This window comes from Homo sapiens, chromosome 12, assembly GCF_000001405.40.
Source record: "Homo sapiens chromosome 12, GRCh38.p14 Primary Assembly".
NCBI classification, from domain to species: domain Eukaryota; kingdom Metazoa; phylum Chordata; class Mammalia; order Primates; family Hominidae; genus Homo; species Homo sapiens.
The window spans coordinates 93,090,131-93,108,682 of record NC_000012.12 but is presented as its reverse complement, the minus strand read 5'-3'; the positions used below and the strand labels follow the sequence as shown (position 1 = coordinate 93,108,682).

Genomic DNA, 18,552 nt, shown 5'->3' with positions numbered 1-18,552 from the left:
TTCATAGAGTGTGGACCCATGAATTCCCCTGCCCCCAACAGATTAGAATAAAGTGAATACAGAGCTCCGTCAGGCTGCCTGTCCTGCTGTCTGCAGCCGTCGGCGCTGGTCATTTATTTCTCTTTGAAGACTATGAAAATAGCTTTAAAAGCTGCCTTATGTTTCCTTCCAACATTAACCACAGTTTCTTAAAGTCCACCTTTCTATACGACTGGCTGGATGACATCTAACACACTCCCTTTTCTATTTGAGAGGCTGGGGTCATCCTCTAGAACCATCGGCCATTTCTTGCATCTGTGGAAGTGGTGACAGCTGAGCAAATGATGAAGATTCTCTAGTGTTCAACACTGTCTGAGCCCATGGGGTTGGGTTACCAGGGTATGGGTATCCCCATACATCCATGCTTCTCAGGATGGTAAGTATCATGTAAGCACAGCTCCTCAACTGCTGCCCCGTGAGTCTGTTGTCATTTGTCAGAGGCCAATGCCACGGACTGTTTACTTGATGTGGAGACAAGGCACCACATCTTTCTTGACCTTTTCAAGTTCTTAAGTTCTAATCTTGAACAGTAGTGATGTTGCAATATCTGGAACTAGCAAAGGATACTGATGAGAAAACGTGGAATCATGTGGGATGTGACCTCCTAGGACTCACCTTGCACAGCTGGGTGCAGCAGGGATAGGTAAGGATTTGGGGTTTAGAGGTACAATTGCCTTTTTATGGTTAGAGAAAGGTCCTGGGGCTGGAGGGAGCCTGACGATCTGCTCTGTGTGCAAGGGGAGAGTTAACTCTGCACGCAAGAGCCTGCTTAAAGGGCTGTGTCAGTTCTATTGTAAACACCAACTTAAAGTGGTGGATGCTGGGCAGACATTGTTATTGCCATTCCAAAAAGAAAACAAAAAAAAAAGATGAAATTGTGGGTCTGAGTCAAGGTCACCCTGCAAGGAGCTCTTGCCTGTTGAAAATGAGAGCTAAGTTTTGGGTCAGGTTACATCTTTCTATTCTTTAACTTAACCCTCCCACTGATGGCTCAGAGCAGCTCCTTACTCTGACCTACTGGGTTTGTTTTTTTTTTTTTTTTTCTGGACTGGAGGGAGTTACCACACCTCCAGGTTCTGATCTTTGATGGGGTTGGGTAGGACCTAATGGCAACATTTGGATCATATTTGACTAAGGTGACTGCTCTATCCAGCAGAATAGGTCTTTCACAAGCATTTTCAGTAACGGAGGTGATTTAGACATGACCTCATAACACAGGGGAGGCAGCAAGAGACTAGCATCCAGACTCTGAGGTCAGAGTATTCCAGGCTCAAATCCCAACTCTTCACTGTGTGATTCTCGGCTGTGTGACCTCACTGTAGCTCAATTTCTTGGTCTGTAAAATGGGTCAAAAAAAAAAAAAGAAAAAAGAAAATCCTTAGGATGAGTGATATGGTTTGGCTTTGTCCCCACAAATCTCATCTTGAATTGTAGTTCCCATAATCTTCACCTATTGTGGGAGGGACCCGGTGGGAGGTAATTGAATCATGGGGGATTTACCCTCATGCTGTTCTCATGATAGTGAGTGAGCTCTCACAAGATCCTGTGGTTTTTTAAGGGGCTTTTCTCCCTTTCCTTTTGCTTGGCACTTTTCCTTGCTGCTGCCATGTGAAGAAGGATGTGCTTGCTTCCCCTTCCACTGTCATTGTAACTGTCCTGAGGCCTCCCCAGCCACGTGGAACTCAGTCAAGTAACCCTCTTTCCTTTATAAATTACTCAGTCTCAGGTATGTCTTTATTAGCAGCATGAGAACAGACTAATACAATAAGATAATCTTTGGAAAGTCCTTGCCTCATAAAGGTATTCAGGAAATTCTTTTTTTTTTTTTTTTTGAGATGGAGCTTGCTCTGTTGCCTGGGCTGGAGTACAGTGATGTGATTTTGGCTTACCGCAGCCTCTTCCTCCCGGGTTCAAGTGATTCTCCTCCCTCAGCCTCCTGAGTAGCTAGGATTACAGGCATGTGCCACCATGCTCAGCTAATTTTTGTATTTTTAGTAGAGATGGGGTTTTGCCATGTTGGCCAGGCTAGTCTCGAACTCCTGACCTCAGGTGATCTGCCTGCCTCGGCCTCCCAAAGTGCTGGGATTACAGGCATGAGCCACTGTGCCGAGCTAGAAAATTATTTTTTCACTGTCCTTCACCCCAGGCACATGCTGAATACAGCAGCAATATGCTAAATCACATTAAAAAATAATAATAATAAATGTGACTGGGCGTGGTGGCTCATACCTGTAATCCCAGCACTTTGGGAGGCCAAGGAGGGCAGACCGCTTGAGCCCAGAAGTTGGAGACCAGCTTGGGCAGCATGGTGAAACCTCATCTCTACAAAACAAAACAAAACAAAACAAAACAAAACAAAAATAAGCTGGGTGTGGTGGCGCACACCTGTGGTCCTAGCTCCTCAGGGGCTGAGGTGGGAGGATAGCTCGAGCCTGGGAGGTCGAGGCTCTGGTGAGCCTAGATTGCGCCACTGCACTCCAGCCTGGGTGACAGAGCAAGACCCTGTATCAAAAAAGAAAAAAAAAGATAAAATAAATGTTATGCTTAGGTAAGCTAAGTGACTCAAGAGCTAGCAAAAATTAGGTTTTTAGGGTTAGCTATGTCACATGCCAAGTATGGATTTTCTGTTACTGGGCTTTAAATATGTTAATGAGAGAATGTTCATGCTCCTTGGGTGGAAGCACCATACAATATTTTATGCCACTGGTACCCATAAGGAAGTACTGAGACAAATGGAACCCCATAAGTTTTGCACTGTGAGTGAATTGGGCCCTCGTTCTTCTTGCGCTACCAGGGCATGGGATCCACAAGGAGGGGAAGACTGTCTACGTGAAAACTGCAATTGTTTGCCATACCTTGCAATTCTAATTATTGAAGATTTAGGTTGAAGCACAGCTTTTTATATAGGAGGCTTTTTGGTTTTATTTTTTGTTTTTGAGACAGGGTCTCACTCTGTTGCCCAGGCTGGAGTGCAGTGGCATGATCACAGCTTACTGCACCCTTGATCTCCCAGGCTCAAGAAATCCTCCAGCCTCAGCCTCCCAAGTAGCTAGGACTACAGGTGCATGCCACCGCTCCTGACTAATTTTTTTTTTTTTTTTTTTAGTAAAGATAAGGTCTTGCTATGTTACCCAGGTTGGTCACAAACTCCTGGCCTAAAGCAATCCTCCTGCCTCAGCCTCCCAAAGTGCTGAGATTACAGGTTTGAGCCACTATGCCTGGACTATATGGGAGTTTTATGATCAAGAATTAAGAAATAAAAAAAATAGCTCACAGAATTGACTCTTACTTTTAGATGTAATCAGTTTGAAACAATGACTTCAATACTTAAAGTTTGAGATCATTATATTCTGCTATAATTCCCTTTTATTTTCCCCCATCACCCGACAAACCAAAAAGCAGGTCTTCTCTACCCACGTTACAGTCCATGAGATAAGTTTAATTAAAATCTCTCTATCTGTAACACACTTAGATTGGCAGTGAGCAAGGGGGGCAGGTACAAAGCTATGTCACATAACCTTGCCTTCAAGTTATATAGTAGGAAAAAGTAGCTTACAGTTCAAAATAATCATTACACATATATTTCAGGTAGAAAACATAGTTGCTTTTCATTTCTATATCTACTAGGAAAGTAGAGCTGTTCTTCTAGGCTATGTCATTCCAAGTTCTCATTTGCATGTAACTGGTGGTATAATGGCCTTCTAGCTCCGGATGTAGAAGGTGACAGTGTGCCCATCAATTATGTTGATGGATATATTAAACATCATCTGGGTAAAGGCATTCCTTCCTGACATACTACTCAGCTTACATTAATACAGTATTTCATAAGAAGAAGAGGATGCTCCCAATGTGCTGAGTAGGACATAAACTTCAAGTTGTATTTATTTCATTCATCTACTTATTCATTCATTCATTCATTCATTCATTCACTCAATCATTCTACCAAGATGTATGCAATGCCTGCTACGTTTCAGGCCCCATACTAAATGCTGAGCTTCAGAGATGGCTATGATACCATAGCTATCTGAGATGAACTAATAGTTTAAACAAGATTTCTTGCCCTGTGGCCCATGGGTCCCTAGTGAATCTGAAGTCAGGTTTAGGGGATCTAGAAGTCTCTTGAAATTAAATGCAGTCATTGGTCTGAATGTGCATATACACATTTTTCTGAGACAAGGACCCATATCTTTCATCAGATGATGAAAGTGATTGGGATCCAAAAAGATTAAAGAGCAACTGGTCTTGAAGGGAAGAAAACCCAACCTCGGTTCCAGCAGACAGCCATCAGCTCTGTAACCCTGGCTGGAACCCAGGGGGGAAGCTTCCCTGAGTTTCCTCCCCTGGGGGTCTACCGTCAATGTGTCTTCATCTCTGATTCTCTCTCTTCTCACTCCTAAGTTACTCTTTTCTATTATATTCACTCTGTTTTTTTAAAGTCTTTTAATTTTTAAATTTCTCTATTACTTCTCCTCAAATTCCTTTTTTTTTTTTTTTGGTCTATATTCTTTTTTATTTCCTTAACTTTTTTTTAACTTTTAAGTTCAGGGGTATAAATGCAGGTTTGTTACACAGGTAAACATGTGTCATGGGGGTTTGTTGTACATCATTTCATCACCCTGGTGAATTCCTTTCTACCATACACCTTCACTTTGAATTTATGATAAGGAACATTTCATGGGCCCAGTAAATCACTGTTTCCATTGGGAAGTATCATTCTGCCAGGACATCTCAAAGATTTTTGGATGCTCATCCATAGCCTTTGAACCAAGCACCAGCTCTGCTCTAATTAGCTATACCAGGCTGGGGGTACAGGGAGAATCACTGGGAATAGAGTGTGGCTACCAATCTACAAGGCCCTGCCTCAGAATCCTCCTGGGAGAGACTACAGGCAAGGATGTTTCCTGAGAAGTTAGTTGTGAGAGTGACAGTCCCTGATTTCAAGCATGGACGATGGATTAGGGGAGTACATTGGACCAATCTATCCATTAACCTGCCAGGTCCCTTTTGGGATAGGTTAGCAAGATTGTGTGGCCATGGAATACCAGAAAACTCACTGTCCCATGCATATTTAAAACCTGAAACTTTGGCCTTCTTAGTGTTAGCCTAACCCTCGTAACTGGTAACAGTGACTGAAAAGCATAGACACTAGAACAAAGTGTTTTTATTTCTGGTCCACCATAAACTCTGACTTGTCCCAAGTCAGGTGCCAGGGATCCAAAGACAAATAGGACTTGCAACCTTTCCTTGCAGAGATCACATAAGAATAGAAGTTATATTGTTTGATATAAATAGCTGACTTGAAATGGCAATGGGCTGGAAACCAGAGAGCTGGAATTCTGGCGCTGACTCTGTTGCTTACTGCATGTGTAAGCCTGGCTCTGTTATTTAAATGCTCTGAACCATAGTTTCCTTATTTTAAAATGGGGATAATAAAACCAACTCTGCTTGGCGCTATGGTTGACAGAAGGATGAAATAAGATAATATATGGGAAAGTATATTACTGTAAATTTCTAAAGCAAAACAAGGCTTACAAAAAAATCATTGCCTTAGTTTTGGGTATTATTGGCAGAACAGAACCATTCATTACTGGCGCCATGCTAGTTGGTATCATTAAATACATTCTTTGTCCTCTCAAGGTCTTTGTGAATAGGTCTTTTTAAAAAAATCTGGTCACGTTGGAAATGTGTGTGTTTTAATGGTATGCTTTGGTTTCAAAGGACATCTGATAAAAGCTTTAAAAGTTTAAAAGTACAAACTGAATAGTAAAAGCACCAGTTAAAAGTTAATGAAGCAGGACCCATGAGGGAGGAGGCTATTGGCTGAGGGTGAGACAGTGCCTCTGTCTTTTGTAAGAAGGAAGTTTCCAACTCCTGAGTTATGCTAAAAATTTCCAAAGGAATTGATTGATACAAAGCCTACAGTTTTATTAAATTCTCTATAGGACTTTTTGCCCATAGCCACCCAAAGTTCCAGAACAATTATGATTTTAAGTGATTTATTCATGCTGAGTTGAATAGATGAACAAGAGTTTCTTTTCTGATTTTACTCTGGTAGTTGCTCTTGCACATAGCAAAGTAGCCAAGGCTTTCTTTTGAACTCTTTTGATTCTCTCCATGTCTATGGTACTTTAATTCCACTGAGGAATTAAATTGCTTATACTTTGAAGTATAACTGACCTCTTTGTTTCCAGTCTCTCCAGTAGAAAGGCAACATTCTTGGGGACAGGAACTGGGTTATATTCCTAGTAACACTTACAATACTATAATGGATAGCACATAAAATGGCATGAGCCATATCGAGGCAGAATTCTGAACAGGAAATAACTATCTATTTTTGCCCTTTCTAAGTTCTGGGATCATTTAAATACTAGGCATGGTTTGCTGGATCAGGTGCCTGTATATAACAGCACTTGAAATGGTTTCTCAACTTTGGATTTTATGAAGCCAACAAAAGGATTTGTTGAAAACGACTAAGTCAGCCGGGCGCGGTGGCTCATGCCTGTAATCTCAGCACTTTGGGAGGCCAAGGTGGGCGGCTCACAAGGTCAGGAGATCAAGACCATCCTGGCCAACATGGTGAAACCCTGTCTCTACTAAAATACAAAAAAAAAAAATTAGCCAGGCAGGCATGGTGGCATGCCGCCTGTAGTTCCAGCTACTTGGGAGGCTGAGGCAGGGGAATCGCTTGAACCTGGGAGGCAGAGGTTACAGTGACCCAAGATCGCACTACTGCACTCCAGCCTGGCGACAGAGCGAGACTCTGTCTCAAAAAAAAAAAAAAAAGACTAAGTCCACCCATTGCAATGAGGATCATACATAGTTTACTGATCATATTTAGAAGCAAGAAACTAAAAATCCCCTGATGGTGGTATTCACCATCAGTGTTTCTTACCTAAGGAACTAGTGGTGATGCTCAACTAGGACTGTAGTTAGAGAATTTTGGCCCTGCAGTCTAGCCGACTTGAATTTGAACTTCAGCTCCACCACTAACCAGCTGTGACCTCGGTCAACTTGCTTAAGTCCTCTGAGCCTCTGTTTTGTCATCAGTAAAATGGGAACAATAGTAGTACCTACTAGATAGAGGATGTTGTGAATATTAAGAGAGGTGAGATATGTTTTTGTTTCGTATTGTTTTGTTTTTGAGATAAGGTCTTGCTCTGTCATCCAGGCCAGAGTGCAGTGGTGCGATCTCAGCTTACTGCAGCCTCAACCTCCTAGGCTCAAGCAATCCTCCCACTTCAGCCTCTTAAGTAGGTAGGCACCATGATGCCCTGCTAATTTTTGTTTTTTATTTTTTGTGGAGATGGGTTCTCACTATGTTACCCAGGCTTGTCTCAAATTCCTGGGCTCAAGTGATCCTCCTGCCTCAGCCTCCCAAAGTGCAGGGATTACAGGCATGAGCCACCACACCCACCCTAGGTAGCATGTGTTAAAGTGCTTAGCAGAGTGCCTGGCAGAGAAGATGCTATCCATGCCAGGTAGCGATTATGATCAGCCAATGGACTAGTGTTTGAGAAGGTCCAGTTTGCAGCCTTTTTACTGTGCCCCAAATTGTCCTCATCTCAAGGGCTCTGTGCTGGGCCTTCCTTCCCTTCTTCTTGCTTTCTTAGCCATTACAGATTATCATTTTCTTTGTTTTTAAACCCCGGAAATGGCTGCCTAATGAAGGTCCCTGTCTCTTTCCTGAGTTAGGATTGGGTTGTCTGTAGCTACTAACTATATGCAGGATCAGTGTGATTCTGTATGCCCTAGTGATTAGTGGAGGAGGATTTAAATCCCTCTGGGCCAGGAGTCCTTTTTTGCTGGGAATGCAAACTGAAAACAGATTTGCAGCCATCTCGGAGCTCATGATGCATAACACCGTTAAATAGCCAGCAACAGAGGCTCCAGATATTATAGTTTAATCATTTCATACCCAAAGCCATATGGCAGAAGGCAACTTACTGCAGCATACTGAAGCGGCTCCATTAAATAAATGCCTTTTGATTTACTAATCATTAGCATTACACAGATGCTGACTTTAAGCATGGGCTTGAGGGAGAGGTAAAATCCAGAATGCATTTTTGGGAATGCTTTTTTCTGCTCTGTACTTTGGAGGTAGGCTTCTGTCTGAATTTACACCTCTTGAGCTACCCAAAGCGAGTGTGCTTTTTGGCATTAAACATCATTTACTTCATAAAAACAAAACAAAACAAAACAAAACATTGGTTTCTTATTGCAGTAGGTCAGAGCAACTAGGTGACTATGATTCTCACTGTGGGCTCTGAGGTTTATGCTAGGCCTGGATAGTTTGGCCAGGTAGAACGTTAAGGAAGGGAGTGTGAATTATTCCAGGTAAACCTGTAAAGGGCTGATACAGCTTTGCTGCCAGAAAATTCTAATTCCCAGTTGCACAAAGTCTTACCCTAGAACCGCTGAACTAGAGGAAAGCAGATCTGTCTTTCTATGAATTTATCTGTTCTTTGCTGAAGTTCCAGACTTCTACCAGTCTTCCCTCAGCTTTCTCTCCCAGCACTGTTTTTGTACTAAAGGCCTCTAAATTCAGGTCAAGGAATCATAGTTACATCTTGTTCACTAGATCAGTGTTGCAAATGTGTCAGCTAATCAGAATCTCTAGCTTGGAGGAGTGATGACAGTCTCTGATAACTTGAATATAGCTTGAAAATGTAATATAGTTTGTAACATTGCCAGGTGGTTTCTAACCAGTCAAGTTCTCACTGAACTGCAAGTTCCTTGAGAGTGTGGACTGCTTTCTGTGTTCGTATTCATAACATCTGGCCAATAGTAGACCCACAAGACATGTTTGTTGAATGAATGAATAAACATAGCATCTATAATGGGCTAATGAAGGTACTGTAGTATACATTTGATGGAAGAGGCAGTGTGGAAGAGACTGACATGGCTTGTCAGAAGGACAATGAGTACCAACAAAGTAACATGGAAATGTTACGGGAAGGCAACGAGAACACAGAGAAGCCACAATTAAAATAATAGTTCGGTAAAACAGAAAGTCACAACTAAAGACTGAGAGACCGAGTTTCTTTGTGAACAAACAGTGAAGCCTCTTCTTCTTGTTAAGGAAATCCTCCATCATCACTGACGTTTCTTTCTTGAGTTAAAATGTTTTCGTCTCTGTTTCAAAATAGTCCCTTTATTTCTATGCTATATTTTGAGCATATTTTTATCTTTCCGGGAAGACAGTGGGTGAGAAAAATGTTCTTTCTAGAGAAAACTACTCACCTTTTCTCATTTGTTCATTAAAAGCAGGATTTTTAAAGTGATATATCCAGGCCATCCCATAATAGATTTCCCTGGAAGCAAGTATGCAAATGAAAGTTTGAGGTGAAGTCAGTTCTTGAGTCCCACAAGCTCTAATGTTCTTATAAATATTTCACTACACTCTAATAAAATCTCTCTGTTTTCCTAGGATGGATGATAACATAAGTTCCTCACCACTTGCAGCAACTTCTCTGAGATCATGAAAGAAATTAAGCCTTGATACATTGACGGCTGCTATTAAAGAGCTAGCTTCAAAACCATCAATTACCCTCAGCCCCACCTTAGAAGTATTAAGTGAAAGCCATCAGGCAGATTTATAATTAGAGATTGAAAATGCTGACCAGGGAGCTCACAGGGCCTTTCAAAATGCTGTCGGGAACTTGCTCAATTTTACAAGGCTATTGGAAGAACATAATTAAAGTCAACAAGGGGGCAAGAAACTTTAAGAATTTCAAGGTGGGAGAAGGGTAGCAGCTAGAAATCATTTTGATGAGAGGATTGTCCCCAAAGTTCTCCTGTGAGAACTTCAAGGAAAACTGCTAGAACGTCAGGTTAAATGACAATAGAGTTTCCTTTTGTATCAAACCTTATAGATGCGGAGTTAAGAAGCTTAATTCCACTGTGTAGAAGAGCAGAACACTAGTGCCCATGTGGGAGTTATTTCCTGGTTTGAAGAATTAGAAAGCAGGGTCCAAGCACATGCTTATGAAGTTGTGGAAAATTTGCTACGACTTAATAAGGTGGTGTGGTTTCCATTTCTGTCACCTTGAATAAGAGGCTTGTGATTTTTCAGCACATGAGGTTTGTAACACACAACTGTGTATGGAAGACCTACTCTGTGCCAGGCACCATAATGGTATGGGAAGACAAAGACCAGCTTTGCCCTCATGGAGCTCTGGTTCTAATGAAAGAAGGAAAACAAGTCCATGGGAAAGTGATTGAGATGAATGAAGGGTGTTTGGGATCAGAGGAGAAGGGCAAGTATAGCAAGAGATGTTTCTGTTTGTGTGGAGAGTGCTATGTCCGTGGTACACCAGAGGCTGTGCAGACTGGTTGAGGACTTCCTCTTCTGGATGGTAAGGCTGAGCAGAGGCAACAGAAAGGCACTAAGGAGAAAAATGGCTTCCCTTTAGTTTTACCTCCTTTCCTTTTCAGTGGCGCCCTCTAGTGGAAGTGGCAAAGAGCCAAGGGAAGCTTAAATATGTAACTGACTTCTTTTTATTTTATTTTTTTTTTTTTTAATTATTATTATTATACTTTAAGTTTTAGGGTACATGTGCACAATGTGCAGGTTAGTTACATATGTATACATGTGCCATGCTGGTGTGCTGCACCCATAGTAACTGACTTCTAAAACATACATTCACTGACAAAATGATGGTGAACAATTCGTTCTGTGTAAGTAAGACGTAGGCATCTCCATATTGTAACACTGGAGAGGAGAAAAACCAAAGCCAACATAGAGCCCTTGATATCCCCTCGGTAGTCAGGACCTAGGGGTTTACAGTAAGGAGCAGCAGGCAACAACATTAACCTTCTAACAGCAAGCTATCAAAATGAACTTGAAATAATGCACTTAGTTCCATGTAGTCCTTAACCTCCCTGTGAGAAACCTGCACATGCCTTGCTTCCTAATTCTTCTTCTGGAGCTCAGGGCCAGGATTGGTAGTGCTGCATATAGAGCTGTGTTGGGAAGAACTGTAAGACTCAATGAAGGAAGAGTGTAGTGATCAATTAGTGATGTCTGCCAAGAGTATGGGAAGGGATGGGGACAGCACATGTGCTATGTATTTGCCAACCCTGAACTGGGGCATATTTTCAGTAAGCTGTCTCTGCCATGGAACTGTAGTGTACAAAGCTAACTAGTATTAATGAATACTAGTTACTAGTACTAGTATTCACTTGTAACTTCTCCAGCATGAGATAATAGTGCCTTTGCTGACCTTCAGTGAAAATTTTCACAGACTTTACCAGTAATTTTCATAGATGACAGACACACTTTGGTAGATATTAATAGTCTGGGGATTAGATACTAGGCTGGTGCAAAAGTAATTGCTGTTTTTGCCATTGCTTTTAATGGCAAAAACTGCAATTACTTTTGCACCAAATAGATACACTCCACTGTGGAAGAGAGATAGTTCGTTTGGATTTTTCATATCTAGAGGATATATGCTTCAAGACCTTTAAATTCTCCATGTTGATACACAACAAATATCCTTCTCATTGCTAATCTGATTCCTTGTTTCTGGGAAGGAAGAATCCTGGTTAATGAATACCAATATCATTGTTACTGGGAAGATATTCCATCAGTAGGATAATGATAGTATCTCCTTGATAATAAGTTGACATTTTGGGTTACATGCCAATTCTTGGTAACCGTAAATTATAAAGAGACTGATCATTCTTGCAAGTTTGGTTAGCTAAGTTTCTCAGTTTGTTTACCCACCACGGGGCTCCCTCCTCCAAGAATACTCTCTCTTTTAGAGCGCTCACTTCAGCAGTCATAGGAGTTGGCTTGCTTGCTTGTTGGGGTTGAAAGTTAATCAATGTTCCTAACAGCATTGATAACAAAGCTGGTCACCGCTGCTCTTAATGGTAGGCAATCTTATAGCTGGTAGCAGAAATGATTCAATTACACTGTCAGTAATACATCTTTTTTTTTTTTTTTCATTTATTTTTAGTAGAGACAGGGTTTTGCCATGTTGCCTAGGCTGGTCACAAACTCCTAGGCTCAAGCAATCCACTAGCCTCGGCCTCCCAAAGTGCTGGGATTAGAGGGGTGAGCCACCTCACTCAGCCAATATATCTTTTTTGATAAATTTTTTTAGTGCATAAACTTTCTAGGTTAAAGATATGATTCAGGAAGGGTCAGATTTGGGGCCCAGTCTAAATTTTGTTATTGGTGAATTTTAGTGGCCTCTCAAAAACATTTACAATGAGTAAACGTTATTAATGTTAGAAGTTAATTACCAGCTGGGCTCAGTGGCTCACGCCTGTAATCCCAACACTTTGGGAGGCCGAGGCAGGTGGATCACCTGAGGTCAGGAGTTCAAGACCAGCTTGGCCAACATGGTGAAACCCCATCTCTATTAAAACTACAAAAATTAGCCAGGCATGGTGGCACGTACCTGTAATCCCAGCTACTAGTGGGGCTGAGGCAGGAGGATCTCTTGAACCTGGGAGGCGGAAGTTGCAGTGAGCCGAGATGGTGCCACTGCACTCCAGCCTGGGCGACAGAGTGAGACTCCATCTCAAAAAAAAAAAAAAAAAAAGAAGTTAATTACCTATTTGTGTTTAGCAGCATGGTAAATAAAAAGAAGTATTTAAGACAAATAACTTCATAATCTGAAGTATATAATTTAGTTGGGGACATAAAAGATTTAAAATAATAATACAAGATAGCATATACTTTATTACTTTTGTGGGCTGGAGCTGCTCCTACTGGCTTGCAAAAGCCAATTGCTAAGTTTTCCAGTTTTGTGAGCTGGTTATTAAACACAGCCATTATTAGAAATTAAATTATATAAAGTTATAATTAAATAAAGTATACTAATAACAAAGATAATAAATAGTCAAAACTCATTACTAATTGTTTTATTACCTTTCAGTATTATCTCTGATCTTGAAGTTATTTATGTGTATTATATCTGTGTGGTAGAAATACTACATAACAATATGCCACTCTGCGTCTCTTCCTGACTGTGGTCAGTGACATCATACTGGTGGCTTGAAATAGCCATGGTGGGAGTGTTTACACCACAGAAATTGAATCTATAAACCCGCCGAACCCAGACTCCTACCTCTCCACCCCCAGAGCCAGGTGCTAAACATTTACCAGCACGCCATTGCGTATAAATATCAAATAGGAAGTACAGACTCTAAGAACCATCACTGGCCAGAGGACAGTGCGATCACCTGAGGTTTGGGGATCAGAGAGGTAGGCTTTGAAGCTGGCTCTGAAGCAGACTTGTTTTTATGTGGGTCAGGACCACCCTCAGGGATATTTAGAACCAGGACAAATCACAGAATGCCCACATGTCCCTGGACATTTTTATACAGGTGAAATCAGGTTAGCATGAGCATTAACAGTCTCTTCCAAGGTGAAGCAAAGTAAATAAAAAGGCAACAGTAAGCCTGAAAGGTGTGTGTGTGTTTGTGTGTGTGTGTGTGTTTGTGTGTGTGTGTGCATGTAAAGGATGTGGTGGGGTGATCTCACCCCCTCTGGCCGAGTGGTCATGGGATGATTGGATAACCTTAGTGATATCCACTGGAAAGAGTTAAAGACATTTCTATGCTTCTCTTCCAGCCAGTAGCTAAAGCCCCAGGGACAAGGTGTTCCCTTTGATCTTGCTGTACATCTGTAATAGAATTTTAAAAGATTGGAAAGAAAAAAAAAAGGTAGGCTAATAGAAAAGGTAGGTTTAGAAGGCTTCCTGGAAGCCAAGGAGAGGCAGTCTTTGAACTAGCACATTGGATCACTGTTTTTTCAACCCTAACTCATTGCAGACCTCTGAAAGCCTCTTGGGGAAAAATTATAGCAATGTATCATGGTGTTTATAACATGCACGGAAGTAAAGTATATGACAACAATAGCAGAAAAATTAAAAAATATTTTGTTGTAATAAAAATGATTAAATGGTAAACTTCATGTTATGTACATGGTACTAAAATTATAAAGATATTAAAATGATAACATTTTTTCATTCTCTCCTCCTGGGTGAGAATAAGGGCAGTTACTGTTTTTCAATTGATGATGGAAGATTCTCTTGGTTTTTTTTTTTTTTTTTTTTTTCAGATGGAGTCTCACTTTGTTGCTCAGGCTGGAGTGCAGTGGCGTAATCTCGGCTCACTGCAACTTCCGTCTCCCAGGTTGAAGCAATTCTCCTGTGTCAGCCTCCCAAGTAGCTGGGATTACAGGCATATGCCACCATGCACGGCTGATTTTTGTATTTTTAGTAGAGACGAGGTTTCATCACGTTGGCCAGGCTGGTATTCAACTCCTGACCTCAGATGATCCTGAGTACTGTGACTCCCAAAGTACTGGGATTATAGGCGTGAGCCACCATGCCCAGCCTTGAGATTTTTTTTTTTTTTTTGGACAGGGTCTCGCTCTGTTGCCCAGGCTGGAGTACAGTGGCACGATCTTGGTTCACTGCAACCTCTGCTGCCCAGGTTCAAGCAATTCTCCTGCCTCAGCCATGTGAGTAGCTGGGATTACAGGCGTGTGCCACCACCTCTAGGTAATTTTTGTATTTTTAGTAGAGACAGGGTTTTGCCATGTTGGCCAGGCTGGTCTTGAACTCAGGACCTCCAGTGAGCCACCTGCCTCGGCCTCCCAAATTGCTGGGATTATCTGCACGAGCCACTGTACCCAGCCTTCTTGTTTAAAAACAAAAGAAACTTAAATAAATAAAGAAATAAGTCAAGGGCAATAATAGTAGAAACAAAGTGGCAATTGCAATTGTTGAGGAGTTTTGGAAAAAATAAAAATTAAAATAAAAAAAGGCTTGCGCCTTAACAGCTAACTGGTTACTGAGTAGCCCAGTGAGGGAAGTGGGAAACAAAGGAAGAGAAGACTCCTAGGACAAACAGGATCAGAGTCATTACTGGGGACTAGAGCCAGTGTCAGGTGAGGAGAGGCTGCTGGATCATGAGAAGCTCATGTGACGCAGGCGGGTACCATATTTCATCAGTGCTAAGGTACCCGTTGTGTCACAGTTGAACAACTTGAATCAGGATGCATGTTACACTTGATGATATCAGTCACCATTGTCAGGGTGGCAGTCATTGCTGGGCATGCAGAAACTTGGGCATAGATGTTCATATTGTGGCCCCGTGTTGTTTAAATAAATATGTATTTATGTAAATTTAGCATAACAAAAAAATGAACATTTCTAATCAGGAAGCATGATGTCACCGTTTAATTGAGTTTTTCACTTCTTCATGACAGATTAAATGATGGCATGTCTTATGATTGGTGGCACATTAGTGACATACAGGTTAATTTGCCATATATGATTATAAATTAACTGTTTATAAATCTGTGTCCCATTTACACACCGTTTTGGGTCTTCTCATCTAATAACTTTGTTGAACCAGAAATGTGTGAGTTAGATTGATCAAAATGCTCACTCAGAGGTGGCTATTCTGCGTTCAGAACTGGCCAACCATTTACTAAATTTTGTTGTTAATTTCTAATAATGTATGTCCAAACAGGAACTATTTTGGCTTGGTACTGATGGATACTAAAGTTTGTGATTACATATAGATAAGTGAGGTTCTGTGTTTTTTCCTTAGCATCAAAGAGCTGAGCTGCTTTCTCATCTGTCCTCTTTGCAGTAGTGAACTGTCAATCAGAGCATCAGACCAGTGCCCTCCTATGTGCATGCTTGGGAGAAATCTCCTTCTTTAGATATCCACTCTAAAATGCCTCTGCAAGCAGAGTGAATGCCACGTGTAAAGGAGCAGTGACCAGACAGTGAAGACTGTGTTTGGGAGATTGTGGGTAGATCATTTGCCTGCAGTGGATTGGGTGTGTATGGGAGAGAGCCATAGGTAAGGTGGTACGTTAGACTGGTACTGTGTTCATTTGGGGACAGGTCACAGTCAGTGCATACTGTGCACACTGTGAGTCACATACAAGTCAGTGCATGGCGAATCTTTCGTTAAGTGGGATATGCAGGCTAACGAGGGAACAGGAAGCTGCCAGGCTGCGATACATAATTCTCAGCAAACTTCATGAAGAATGATGGCTTCTATTCCAGGTACATAGTTGTAGAGCATAATCCATTTCACAGCTGGAGGCCTGTTTTATTTTTCAAGTGAAATTGGAGAGAGTGGGGTGGGAAACTTGTCCTCTGATGGCTTAGCGGAGGCAAGGGTGGAAGATGGGGATCCACTTCATTTGTTTTCCTGTCATTAGGCCCCTGAAAAAATATAGACTAAGGATATAATTGCATGGTTTGCTTCTACCTCGGAAAAAGCTGGATTAGTAATTGCATTAACTTGTTACTATGCTTTGCTCTCAGGGATAATATAATTTTAGCTATTGCTTCCTAATTATAGGGTTCTTATTGTTCTAAAAATCCCATTCAGCATGTGTTTCATTTTCACTTTTATGAAGGGCATTGTGAATAAGAGCCCACATCTTGGAAAGAGCTAAGCTGAGCTGAAGCTGTGACTTGCCCAAAGCCATTCCCCACTGTGACAAGCTGGGTGCTACTGTGAATTTTATCCTCCATTGATGAATAATGCTATTGGCAAAGACCATATGCTCTGTTGCTTGCTGGAGTCCAGAGGCACTGCACAACCGAGGGATAATCACATCAAGCTGATGATGGTTTTTATTGGGTGGTAGTAATGGCAGAAGTAATGACAGTCATTAAAATCATGCTTCGAATCGCTTTGGGCCTTCAGAGCACAGCTAACTCAATGTGTCAAGGACGGGTCACTCCCAGAAGCTGTCTGGAAGGATTGCCCAACGACCCTTGTTCTTTGAGAACTGCAGGGCTGGCAGGAGGCAGCAGTGAAGGCCTCAGGTCTTCACCATCTCTTGCATCTACACTGGTGCTTTTGGTGTTTCTACATGATCTTATTTAGGTGAGAATCAAAGTGGACTCATGCAAAACTGAGCTTATTCATAGAAAGGCAATAGAAAAATATCCTTGAGATGTTCCACTCCAATTCAACAAATACAAAATTTGTGATACCTGGGTATGTACTCAGTGCTAAAAGCTCTAAAGGATTTGGAGAATAAGATAGTTACTCTTCTGTGGGACCTACTCTCTGGGAAGGGAGGTATCTATTCACAAGCAACTATAGTGCAAGGCAACATGTGGTATTATATATGTGTTACAGGAGAACCTGATGGGTAAGGGGAGCATAAATTGGTTCAGACGAGGATGATTTGAAAAGATATACCTGGGGTACTACAGGGGAAAAATATACATAAGTTAAACTTCCTGCAAATTCCTCAAAGGTGACCTTGAACAAGTCATTTAATTCTTCCTCTGTCAGATTCACCATCTGCAAAAAAAGGAATATTGGCCTTAAAGATTTTTCACTGGGCAAAGAACCACTCAATCCATCTCACTGAAAGTTTGAGATTATAACAAAACCCTGAATTCTAGGTATAATTGAACAGTTAGAAATCAGAGGAACAGGAATTCCAGGTGGAGGGACCAGCACTAATAGGGGCCTAGTGGCAAGAAGGTGTTTTTCTGGCTGGAGCATAGGGTTTTGTTGATTTTGTGTGTGTGTGTGTGAGTGTGTGTGTGTGTGTGTGTGTACAGGTTATATGCACAGGCTCTTTCTTGATGAAGATAATCTCCCATTACCCTATTCCTCTACAACAGTCTCTTTAAAATATTAAGAAACCCAAGATAGAGGCAAGTTATTTATTGGTTATATCTAGAGATATTTATACAAAGAAAAGAAAGGGGATAAATAGATAATTTCTATATTTCTTAGATTTCTTGACTCATACAGAATCATGACTCAGATAATGACTCAGGGGCAAACTGAACATTTATAGCTGTTACCTTAACTAAGGGAAAACATTCTTCATAGCAGATAGTCTGAGTGACAAAAAAAAAAAAAAACACACAGATTTTTATAGTCTGGTTTCAACCCACAGAATTCTACCTGCAGAAGAACAAATACTTGGAAAAGATTATAGGAAAATAAAAAGATTTAGCAGAAATATTAAACTAAATGAGATTTTATTAATAGTTTTACCTTATATTTATTTAGTGCTTTATAGTTGACTTTTTCATTATTTAATTTTATGCTCACCACATTCCTGGGAGTGAAGCATTTTTGATACTATTCTGCCCCTTCTTCCAGATGTGGAAACTGGGGTTCCAAGAGGTTCTATGACTTGCTGTGAATTTTACACTCAACGAGTTCTAGAATTAGAATTTGAACTTTGAACTCTTGCTGTAAGACTCATTCTAGCACAGTGTGTTGTCTTGAGATCACGCAGGCAGCCTACTCTGCTTATTTTTCTTGAGGAAACAGGTTCAGAGAGGTGAAGTGACTCACCCAAGATCATATAGTTGATGGCTGTTCTAGACCTCAAAGCAAGATGTCCTAACTTCCTGTTCTGTGCTCTTTTCATAATGCAAGGCTATACAGGATATAAATTTGAAATAAAATGTGTTAATCCATTCACTGCTATAAAAAAATACCTAAGACTGGGTAATTTATAAAGAAAAGAGGTTTAATTGGCTCATG

General features: G+C 41.1%; 2 long non-coding RNA genes across 6 annotated transcripts in view, besides 1 other annotated feature; one reads left to right on the top strand and one right to left on the bottom strand.

Moving 5' to 3' along the window:
* Window positions 1-18,552, top strand: part of LOC643339 (uncharacterized) — a 373,979-nt gene that overhangs the window by 269,054 nt on the left and 86,373 nt on the right. The gene's annotated exons all lie outside the window — the stretch shown is intronic.
* Window positions 69-18,203, bottom strand: LOC105369908 (uncharacterized). 5 transcript variants are annotated; one of them, NR_188216.1, is made up of 6 exons: window positions 18,055-18,203; window positions 17,239-17,343; window positions 15,959-16,244; window positions 12,447-12,568; window positions 9,280-9,350; window positions 69-1,375 (listed from the first exon to the last, which is right to left on the bottom strand). It is a non-coding gene; the product is annotated as an uncharacterized LOC105369908 (long non-coding RNA). The 5 variants fall into 5 exon arrangements; NR_188217.1 differs by lacking the exon at window positions 15,959-16,244 and adding an exon at window positions 2,269-2,361; NR_188218.1 differs by lacking the exon at window positions 15,959-16,244.
* Window positions 10,101-10,350: an enhancer, noted in NCBI's record as "active region_6762". NCBI's record gives its function as "activates an Ori minimal core promoter by ATAC-STARR-seq in GM12878 lymphoblastoid cells {active_cell/tissue: GM12878}" and the evidence as "EXISTENCE:reporter gene assay evidence [ECO:0000049][PMID:35858748]".